The sequence below is a fragment of the Homo sapiens genome, chromosome 5 (assembly GCF_000001405.40).
Source record: "Homo sapiens chromosome 5, GRCh38.p14 Primary Assembly".
Classification (NCBI taxonomy): Eukaryota; Metazoa; Chordata; class Mammalia; order Primates; family Hominidae; genus Homo; species Homo sapiens.
The window spans coordinates 57888084-57900237 of NC_000005.10; the positions used below are offsets into that span (position 1 = coordinate 57888084).

General features: G+C 38.1%; 1 long non-coding RNA gene across 1 annotated transcript; it reads right to left on the reverse strand.

The window, feature by feature from the left end:
- Positions 1–2247: 2247 nt before the first annotated feature.
- Positions 2248–11079, reverse strand: LINC02225 (long intergenic non-protein coding RNA 2225). Its single transcript, NR_109900.1, has 3 exons — positions 7197–11079; positions 6827–6912; positions 2248–2343 (listed from the first exon to the last, which is right to left on the reverse strand). It is a non-coding gene; the product is annotated as a long intergenic non-protein coding RNA 2225 (long non-coding RNA).
- Positions 11080–12154: the final 1075 nt, after the last annotated feature.

Consider the following 12154-nt stretch of genomic DNA (forward strand, 5'->3'; position numbering starts at 1 on the left):
TGGAAAGCAGCTCTCATTACTGGGCGTTTCTCTAGAAGCAGCAGAGGATAAGAGTTTGCCAGTTGCCCCTGGGAGAAGGTGGACTTTACCATCAAAGGAAAATAATTCTGTATAATCTTTCTCTCTCTCATTTTTTTTTAAAGCAAATTGAGGCTTATTCAAGTAGGTATATTGTGAAACACTGAAGAGGAAATAATTTCTGTGTCTTAAAGCTATGGCATACAAAAGACAAAATAGAGATTTTTATAGATTGAAAGGCCCCTTCTCTAAGGGGCTGTTCATACTGATATTTGGAGGCCAGCCTCAATTCTCAGTGTTTGAGAGCTTCTCCTGACAGGTATGAGGGAGAATGAGTTTACTCGCAGTCTGAGAGCTTTTAGGCATTATTGTGAAGCTGAACAAAGTGCTCCCTGTGCCCCACCATGCCCCAGCCTTTTACTGCAGCCCCCTATATGTGAAGGATGGTAGCCCTCCGGGTGCATACCACCTTCAATGCCAGGCCTATAGCTGTAATCCCATGCAACAGAAACAGATGGGATACATCTGTAAGGAGAGACTGGTAGATGAAGTTTCACCGTTTTTCCAAAAACGCAAAACACATTAATCTCCATTTGCCTTTGAATAGTCTGCAGTAGAAACAGAGGACCAAAAGGGAAAATAATCTCCCCTCATTTAACCTGTGCCCCTGTGAAAAATTGTGATAGCTTGTATTTCAGAAACTGAGTGTAACTAATTTTGCCCTCTATCCATGGTCTTCACTACACAGCAGCATTAGAAAGAGAATCAAAATCGGATCAGATCAATGAATCTATAAAGCCTTTTTTGGAATGTATTGCCACCACGAGTTGATCAGTTTCTCCAGAGGCCCTCTAATACCCAGTTTTCTCTGGGGCAATTGTAGATCCTTTTGCATTCATTTTTAGGACAAATCTTGTCATTCTTTTAGGTAGACTGTCATTTGTTCATTCATTTATTCATTTGTTTTTCAAATGCCTATGCTGCTCCAGTCGCTGTGATTTGCAAAGAAAACACAAATGATGATATACAGGGCTTGAGTGGGAGTTCCTAACATTGGATCCACAGATTCCTAAAAGTGAACGACTACTTCAAGATGTCTGTAATCCTCCTAAGATGTGTGTGTGCTTTAACTATGAGAAAAATCCAAGATTTAGAACAATCTTTAAAGGGATTGATGTAAAAACTATTGTAGAGGCTGACAGTTACACGAGCAAGTAATCAGAAGACTACATTAGAATTGTCATATAGTAAAGATACAGTATGTACAGTGTCACATGAGGTCACAGGTGGAGTTTTCTCAATTGTCACTGATGACACAGGTCAGTGAAGGCTACAGAGAAGGTAGCATTTGTGTTATATGTGAAGGTTGAGTAGGAAGTGGTGAGATGACTTGAAGGGAGGGTAGACGAAAGTCAGTGTGCTCTGAGGGGCAGTTCACCTCCAGGGTCTGAGGCCACCCTGCAAGTTGGAGCATGATTGGAATTTTCTCTCCTGCAACCTGACAAATGAAGCGCGCTTTGCCATGAGTCAACTGTTACGGGAAAAGGAATTCCACAGGCATGCCCTGACTGACCACAAATGGGCGAGAGCACATGTGAGTACAGAATGCCCAAAGGTTGGTGTGGAATAATCAAAACGATTCAAATGCTTGGTGCTGTACCAGAGTTGTAGGAGGCCTAGCCTCAGCACTGTACTGCTGCTCTCACTCTCCAACCTGCACTGGAGAGGAAGGTCAACTACAGTAGGTGGAGCTCTGCACCAGGTCCAGAAAGCAGACCTTGATTCTGCAGCTGACCATCTTCCTGCTCACTTAATTCCACCAGCCTCCACTTCTGCTTCTGCACTTAACAGTTACATTTATTGAGGACCTCTATATCCCAGCCACCGTACTGGGTGAATTACCTGCCTAGTTTCATTTTATTCTCCTGACACCCTGCAAAGTAATTTTCATTTTCCAAATAGGGAAAATATACTCAGAAAATTAAAATAATGCCAAAGTAGTCATGCTGCTATAATGTGGTGATACCAAGAGAACCACAGTCTCTACTTCAATCTTGATAATTCAACTGGTTTTAAATGTCACCATCTTAAGGCTATTGATTTATCAGTGAAACAAGAGAGGTCAGTGTAATTTAACACGGTTTTGCAGAGCTAGAATACTGCATTGGGCATATATTGCTTATTTGGGAAGTTATAGATGTGAGTTTGTCTACAGGAGTGCCATATTTTGATGGTTAATGATAGTTTAATTTTAAACTTACAGGATACAGGTTAAGATTAAGCTGTTTCTTTCATGTGAGTCTCATCACTGAGATCTGATTCCACCTACAAAGGTAAGAGAATTTGAAGTAAGTAGCAACTAGTCTTCTCAGAATGTTCCAAATTGCAAAAACAAGTCTGGATTTTAATCTGAGAATTATTACTTTATCAGGATCTATCTATAAAATATACCATTTGACCATAACAAAATAAATTATAAGTTGGGTGTTTGTTTTTTTTAAGAAAAAGCACTTGATCAGCCTAATTGATAAATATTGTCTTATTCCATGGTGGGCTGTAGACAACAAAAGCAGCAAGACATTTTTTTCATATGAAGTAAAACTATGGCTTTGCATTTACAAAGAAATGTTCAATTCTTATGCTAGCATTTTAAAATCTTTTCTCATTTAAAAACATATCTAGCATATCATTGAATGTAATACTGAGTAATTTTTCTTTACATATTTTAAATTGCGTATCCAATATATTTTAGTTAACTCTACAGCAAGTGCCATAACCTAAGAAATGAACAGTCAAAAATGCAATCTTTGATAACATCTTTAGCTACTTGAATTATTTTAAATGAAGAGGGGATTTCTATATGTAGAATGCATAAAAAACCTTTAAACTGAGCAATTGTTTGCAGAACTTCATAAATACTAAAGAATTCTGGTCATTGTATTTCTTCCATATTAAAAATACACTGTAGCCATATTAAAAGATACTTCTAGCTGCTGTATTTCCTAACCTGTATATTTAAACTTGAACAGTGTATGCATTCATTATAGCATGTTATAGAACTATCTTTCTAACAAGAATATCGGTTACCAAAAGCCAATTATGATTTTTGGATATTGTGATGTAATGCAGTGAATTGACCTGCTGTTGAGTAAGACTGACTTCAGTAGTAATTCATTTAACTTTAAAATGACACACCCCAAAAGTCCCCGATGATATTGTCAGGTGCTATGCTTTAAGACAAGGCAGTTGACAGGATATTTTTCTTTCTTGAGATTTGCAAGTCTCTCTAACTTTCAGAAAAATAAAAAGCAAGTAGGTGGATATAACTCTGCTACCCTACCTATTTAGTTAAAAAGTAAAAAACCACCCAGTCACTCAGTCGAAAACACAGATGCTTGGCATTCTCTACTCAAGTTATCTGAATTTGTAATTTAAATTTTAAATTTCAAAAGAAAGAGCTGTGTCTCAGGTTCCCAGAAAGCCAGCTCTGAGATGGAGTTTGCCATGCAGGAAGTTTACTGTGGAGTGTCCCTGGGAACAGCCCCTATGCAAGGGAAAGGAAGGAAGCAGGGCTGGAGACAGGAGGAAGAGGAAATGTGATACAGTCACTATGGGCACCCTTGCCTATCATAGGGAAACTCAGAAGATAAATGACCCTTCAGAGCTGATCTGAGTTGAGGTGGAATGGCTGGGATAGTAAACTCCCATGCAGATTAGTCATTGGTTGTGGGTCACCTGGGAAGGCGACCTGACCTTGGGCAAGGTGGCTCTCTTCAGTAGAGATAATCGTGGAAGTGGCTGACAGGGGAGGTTGTCCCTCAGCAATGCTCCTAGTCACTAAGGGAATGAGTACTTCAGTCCTAAAGGGGACTCTAGGTGACATTACAGCATCCATCACAGGTTGACGTGCAGAAATATGTAGTTATCTAATGTTACTTATGTGCAGTCTAGATACTTATTTCTCATTTGTAAATTTGTGATATCTTTAGTTTTCCTGTAGTTCCTCAATAATATTGCCAAATACAGAGGTATAACCTTTTGGACACTAACAATGTCATAACAAGGAATTTATCAAATGTGATACATAACTTCTTTGTACTGTATGGAAAATATTTGCATTATGCCATTTTGGAATGCTGTAGTTATAAATTTGTGATTCTTGTGAGTCTCTTATTGTAGAAACGGCTTGGGCTTGCAATGTCAACATGGTTCCTTTACTATTTCATTGTCCTCTCATCTTCTATTCTAATATCCCATGATAAATCCTTGATATTGTTAATTTAATATTTTTTAATCTATTCTTCACCTTTAAAATGTGATTAGAGGTTATGGGAATAAATATAGTATGGAAGTCAAAATAATATTATATTGGCTGGACACGGTGGCTCACACCTGTAATCCCAGCTTTTTGAGAGGTCAAGGCAGGTGGATCACCTGAGGTCAGGAGTTTGAGACCAGTCTGGCCAACATGGTGAAACCCTATCTCTACTAAAAGTACAAAAATTAGCTGGGTGTGGTGGCACAAGCCTGTAGTCTCAGCTACTCGGGAGGCTGAGGCAGGAGAATCGCTTGAACCTGGGAGGCGGAGGTTGCAGTGAGCTGAGATCACAACACTGAACTCCAGCCTGGGCAACAGAGTGAGACTCTGTCTTGCAAAAATAAATAAATAAATAAATAATAATAATAACTATCATCCACCAAAAGCTTACTATGTGACAGGCACCAAGTGCTTTAGATAGCAGTTTATTAAAGTCTCTTTTAGAAATGATGAGGTGGAGCCTATGAGAAACTAAGTAACTTCCACCCGAAAGTAATGACTAGTGAGTAGTAGAGATGGATTCACACCCAGAACTAAAACTCCCTTATCTGCTATGCTTTACTATGCCAACACAGGTAGATAGGTACAGATATGTTGTTTCAATCATTCCACTGAAATATCCCAACACTTTTTATATCATTAGATACTGCTGAAAAATTTTAAGGGAGGCAAAAGAAAATCACATGATTTACAACATTTTTCATGTCCATGAAAATACATTTTGTTTCTATGTAAGAGCTGAATCATTCTGTTCTCTGATGGGCCATTGAATTTATTTATTAATTCACTGAATCTCTCATTCATTTAACAAATATTTGCTGGGTACCTACTATGCCCCAGGCACTTAAGATTCACCAAAGAACAAAATGGACCAAATGCTCAGTTCATGGAATTAAATTCCAGTGAAAGGAAAGAGATGATAAATGAGATGGAGAAAGAAATAAGTGAAGGATAGGGAGATCAGGAGTGGAGACAGTTGCTGCTTTACATAGGAAGGCCAGCATAGGCTAATCTATGATCAAAGACAGAAGGGAAGGGAAGTATATAGCCCCACAGATACTTAGAGGAAGAGCATTCCAGCAGCTGGAAGACCCAGTGCGTGGTCAAAGATATGAGTGTGTACATTGTGTGCATGGAGAAGGCTGATACTACTAGAGCAGAGTGAACCAGAAAGAATTCCTTTCCTTTATTTTTAAAGGCTTTCCTTTAAAGGTGACAAAAGAATCAGTCAAAAGACCTGCTCAAACTTTCTTCAGCCCAAGTTCTTCAGCAAAAGCTTGGGTCAATAACAGACCCAAGTTCACATTGGAGATGGAAGGCAGGATAGACTTGAGCAATTGCTTCTAAGAGCAGTGGAACTGATGCATGGCTGTTCACATGTGAAGTTTTGTTTTTCTCAGAAGGGCATGAGCTGTCCTACCCTTTAAGAGAATGTGCAGACATGATCGCAAACAGGGTACAAATGCTGGTCCATGGAGCAAAGTCTTGGGAGAGTTTACTGACCCAACTGGGTGCATTGAAAATGTGCTCAGGGAGTTATTATGTCATGATCTGTGGATTAAATCCTCCCTAATTATGCAGTGATGAAGCAAAGAAGAGTTCCTCACCACAGCTTTGATGATGAGAATTTGGGCTCTTGGAAACATTCTCAAAGACTTCAGTCAGTCTTGCTCTCTTCTTTCGAATCAGATCAAAAGGGGACACATTTGGGAAAAGTTCTCAATTCCAGTGATTCTTTCTCAGCAAGATTGGATAAAGTTAGGAAAGAAAGCAAGGGGCTTGGTTAAAATCAGTGAGGATCAACTTGTTATATTAATGTAATGTCAAATATTTGTTTGGTTTTTGTGTATGATACTGTTAAATTTATTTGATTATGCAAACTTTATTTATTTATAAGAAAAATGAATGTAAAGATACTAAATCTGTTACAGAATGAAACCAAATCATGTCTCTTAATATTTATACAAGCAGTGGAAGAAAATCTCTCTGATGTCCTTGAATTTACACTATGTTTACATTTCTTTCTTTGAAGCTGTAATGAAATCTGGCATATAGATTCTAACTGTGTTTATGCAGAATAACTTGAGTGAGATTTAAGGTCTAAAAAGAAAGTGGGTGTGGAATATTTAAAACCCAGAATCAAAGGCATCTCTATTTACGATAACTTTCAGCTGTATAAAAACATTAAGAAAGATTATTTAAATCCATCTTTTATTTCATAAAATATTTCATCATTGTTCTAAAATCAGAATATTCTTTCCATTGGTATGGATCAAAATAAATTCAAAGATGTGATACATTCTAATAATTAATGGGGTTTTAAAAAATGGTTGTTAATTAGAACAAATAACAAAAGAACCTTCTTTTATAACTTAATTGTAAATTTTCTTTTCTCCGATTATAAAAATATTAAACAGTTATTTTAAAGAATTTGGAAAATACAGCAATTTGCTTAGAAAAGAAATTGTAGTTAGGTGTAGTGGCACGTACTCATATTCCCAGCTACTCAGGTGGCTGAAGTGGGAGGATTGTTTGAGCCCAGGGGTTCAAGTCCAGCCTAACCAACATAGCAAGACCTTGAAAAGAAAGAAAGAAAGAAAGAAGGAAAGAAGGAAAGAAAGAAAGAGAAGAAAGAGAGAAGAAAGAAGAAAGAATTAAAAATTTCATTAATATACTACTCAGAAATAATTCTCAGTATTGTGATATACTACAAATAGATATCTTGGGAAATTATACATGTTTGTATATTGCATCAAAACTGAAATAATAACATGAAATAATTTTGTTTCCTAATTAGTTTTTAATTATATTTATAATAAAAAATCTATTACCAAAGGATTAAAAGTAAAAGTTCTCTCACCCCAACCTTGACCTCTGTTTCCCAAGGTAATTGCTGCTGATTGTTGTATATTTGTTCCAATTTGACAGAGATATTACAATTGTATCATCCTACAGAAAACATTAACATTGTATGTTTGTCGTCATGTATCTCATGGAGAATCTTAAAAATCAAAGAGATTAGCAGGGTATATAGCATATAAACAAGTACAATAAAGGACGCTTTTTTGTAAGGCTTTCTCTACATGTAATTTTTAAGTTAAGATATTAAGTCAATGATATCAATTTGACACTTTTCCAAGTCTATACACTAGAGTCTGTTTCCACATCCTAGAAGATAACACGTAGGTAGGTAACTCTCCACTTACCAGAGAGAATCAGTAATCTCAAAAGCCAGCCTATTCCACACAGTATTGCTCTGCCAAATCCCTGCCTCTTTCCTACCTCACCACTCAAGAACTGATGTGCTTTCACGTAGAGGCCATGACCATCTTTGCCTTGGCCTTCACTGGATCCCCTGTCTTCTATTGTATCTGTGCCATGAGATGCAATGCTTCTCTGTGCTTATCTTTCCAGGCTTTAAAAATCCCTTCTGTGCATAAGTTGGTCATCACTTGTATTAAATTCCTTGGTTTCAAGTTTCAAATGATAAAAACTTTTCTCCTTCTTAAATTCCTGTTTTCAATTTCTTGTTACAGTCTTAAATACTTGGCATCCGAAGGGAGACAAATGCTCATTCTACCCTAATATTATATCTTCACTTTGCTTGAAATCAACTGTTGATACTTCCAAAAAACAGCATTCCACAACATTTTGTGGCTAGGAATTCCCCAAGTCATGCAGCAGCCTGCTGCTTTCTAATAAGGATAGAAATTTCAGATCTTTCTTACTATTAAATCTTGGTACAAGTTCATTCAAAGAAAGTTTAGGCTAATTAAAAAATTATGTCCTTTAACTTAATTCCCCAGTACCTATCTATCTATGATGTAATTGATCATGAATGGTTTCCACTGGCATACATTTTCAACTACCAACATGCCTATTTTGAGGAGCTGTGTTCCACTCTCTTGAAGTGCCTTGGATTGTGCCACAAGGATTCCTAGTAAATGCTTGTGATAAATTAAAGTCTTAATTAAGATGCTAATATGCATAGCAATTGCTATTAAATCAGCTTCCTTTGGTGGATAGAAATGGTATTTCATATCACTTATCCAATAGCATGTGTAATTATTCTGAAAACTCCTAAAATTCCTGAAATTTATTCTTTCTTCATTACTTCTTCATGTTCCACCTCTTCTCTTTCCTATGATATATATTATATGTGTTGTAGATACTTTAGTAATTTCAACCTCTATTATTCCAGTCAAACATCCCAACTGAAAGAAAGGTAAGGAGATGAATGCCCTCTGGCCCTGGATGATATGTAAGAAGAACCTAGCTCTGTAGCTTAAATTCCCCAAAACAAACAGAAAATGAGCAACTCCATGAGTACTGAGATTTGTACAACTTTTATCATGACCTAAAGTGACTTGAGTAATTGTATCCCAGGCCAAAGAAGGCTTCTACTCATTACTAATTCAATGAGTATGTTTAAAAATAATAAACTAATATGTTTAAAAATAGTAATAAGTAAACAAATGATTTCAAGCCAATCTCAGTATGATTAACTGAATACAAATTATAATAGAAGCAAGATGGGAGGCTGAGAGAGGAGAATCCCCTGAATCCGTGAGTTGGAGGTTGCAGTGAGCCAAGATCACGCCATTGCACTCCACCCTGAGCAACAAGAGCAAAAATCCATCTAAAAAATAAAAAATAAAAATAAAAATAAAAATAAAAATAAAGATCAATCATGTTTTCTGGTTCTGCGGGAGGAGGAGAGAATACAAACTTACACTGAACAATTTTATTTTTTAGGATTTCCAAAAGATAGAGCTAAAATTAAGCCTAGATTGAGTTCATGGTAAGTAGAAATAAAAACAACCTAAAGATTTCCCCTGATATAGTCAAAGCATACTTTACCAGTACATAGTTCTGAGCTAGAGAAATCTTTTACAGGTTTACAAGATGGGTAGCCACACACTTTAAAATGTTCCTCTAATGGGAGCTGTATCCTCTTCTCCACCTGTGGCATCTTGACCCCTCTCCACTTCAACCAAGGCTGGATTTTCTCTACTCCCTTTCTTCTCTAGCGATCACAAGAGCTCATCCCCAGAAAAAAATGTCAAGTCTAATCCAACCCACTAAGATCTCATCTTAAAAACTGCAATAAAACAAATAGTCATAGTATAGAGAACATGTATTAAATGATCTCTATTCACTAACTTGTTTCCTTCAGGTTTACAAGTGAAAGCAAAGCATACTTTACCAATACATAGTTATGAGATACAGAAATTTGTTTTCACAATGGGCCATTTTCCCCCATTTCCTCCTTTAAACATCCTCCTTCTTAATGCTCCCTGCATTCTCCTCAAGCTGTCAAGTTTAATCAAAACTTGTTCTGATGGAAAAATTTGCTATGCATATCACTTCTGCATAAGAGAATGGAAATAGTTTAAAGCAGCGGTCCCCAACCTTTTTGGCACCAGGGACCGGTTTCATGGAAGACAATTTTTCCACGGATGGAGGTTGGGAAAGGTTTCAGGATGAAACTGTTCCACCTCAGATCATCAGGCATTAGTTAGATTCTCATAAGAAGCATACAATCTAGATCTCTCGCATGTACAGTTCACAGTAAGGCTTGCGCTCCTATGGGAATCTAATGCCACCGCTGATCTGACAGGGGGCGGAGCTCAGGTAGCAATGCTAGCTTGCCTGCTGCTCACCTCCTCCTGTGTGGCCTAGTTCCTAACAGGCCATGGACTCATACCAGTCTGCGCCATGGGATTTGGGGACCCCTTGTTTAGAAGATCACCAATTCCAGGAGCATTTTCATGGAATAACCCAGTGCTATATATTTTTTAAAGTTAATTTCAATTTTTTTAGAGACAGGGTGTTACTCTGTTGCCCGGGCTGGAGTGCAGTGTTGTGATTCATAGTTCACAACAGCCTTGAACTTCTGGAATCAAGCAATCCCCCCACCTCAAGCTTCCTGAGTGGTGGGGACTAGAGGTGTGTGCCACCATCCGTCTAATTTTTTCAATTTCTTTTTAGAGAGAGGATCTCATTATGTTGACCAGACTGGTCTTGAACTCCTCCCCTGAAGCTATCCTCCTGCCTCAGCCTCTCAAAGTGCTGGGATTCCAGGTGTGAACCCCAGTGCAACTTCAGCATTTATAAAATAGTTCAAATTCATTGAATTTTAGAAATTCTTACAATCTCCCGTGGTAGGTATTAGTAACTTCATTATACAGATAAGCCAATCAGAGCATAAACAGGTCGGTGGCTTGCCCTTACTCACAGGCCTAAATAAGTGGCAGAGCCCGAGTCTTAGCATACCTTTCATTGAAATCCTTTCTCTTAGAGCACAGGTGCCTTTAAAGGAGCTTAAAGTCTGAGTGTAAGTGAACAGCCCTATGCAAGAGAATTTCAGGTACGTAAGATTTGATGAAAAGGGAAAGGCAAAACTTTTTGGAATCTATCAGATTTTGGTCCATTGTATTTAATTGAATTGTTGAAAATGTATCTTTACAAATATCCACATATAATTGTCTGATATTAAGGTTATGACCAAAGGATTCTGATACTCCATTTGATGTATAAGAGGAATTCTGTGGGGTATTTGCTTGAAAAGACTCTTCATGTTAGAACTTTTAGCCAGCAAGTCATGTTGAAGCCTGCTATGCTTCTTAATGCACAAACAAAACAAAACTAAACTAAACTAAACTAAAAAACCCACTCCAGCCTAATTTTGTTTTGCTCTTTTCTCTCCCTTTTCCAGTGTTGCTTTTTGACTCTATACTGCCCTTGTTGTACTTGCATGAATCCCTTCTTCTTAGCCTTTCAAGGAAATGATGAATGGCTTCGTATCTTGCCCATCTCACTCTTCTGCTTCCCAATAGCTGCTAGAAAATAATTCAGCACCAGTTTACTTTTCAGTGTGTGTGTTATGGACTGAATGTTTGTGTCCCCCCAAATTCATATGTTGAAGTCCTACTCCCCTTAGGATGGTTTTTGGAAGTGAGACCTTTGGGAGGTAAATTAGCTTTTAGGTTTAGATGAGGTCAGTGGCCCCCGTGATGAGGTCAGTGGCCCCTTATAAAATGAAGAAGAGGCCTGGCACGGTGGCTCACGCCTGTAATCCCAGCACTTTGGGAGGCTGAGGCAGGAGTATCACGAGGTCAGGAGATCGAGACCATCCTGGCTAACACGGTGAAACCCTGTCTCTACTGAAAAATAGAAAAAATCAGCGGGCGTGGTGGCAGGCACCTATAGTCCCAGCTACTCGAGAGGCTGAGGCAGGAGAATGGCATGAACCCGGGAGACGGAGCTTGCAGTGAGCCGAGATTGCGCCACTGCACTCCAGCCTGGGCGACAGAGTGATACTTCGTCTCAAAAAAAAAAAAAAAAAAAAAAAAAAAAAAAAAAAAAAAAAAAAAAAAAAAGAAGAAGAAGAGAGGTCAGAGTGCTCTCTCTCTCTCTCTCGCTCTCTCGCTCTCTCTCTCTCTCTCTGCCATATGAGGACAGAGCCAGAAGGTAGTCCTCCATAGACAAGTGAGAGAACCATCACCAGCAATGGAATCTACTGCCACCTTGATCTTGGACTTACAGTCTCCAGAACTGTGATAAATAAATATCTGTTGTTTAAGCCACCCAGCCTATGGTATTCTATTACAGCAGCCTGAGCTAACCAACACAGTATGGTTTGTAGCTAGTCTGTGTGATTTTACCACACTCCTAGTACCTTTCAGAAACTACTGTAGTACGTGACGTTTTCTATTTATGCAGCTGTGCAGTGTTCAGTTCACCTTGGCTAAATGAACAGTGACACTTTGGACACTGTAGTACATATTTCATATACTAAGATACTGTTTATTTGAC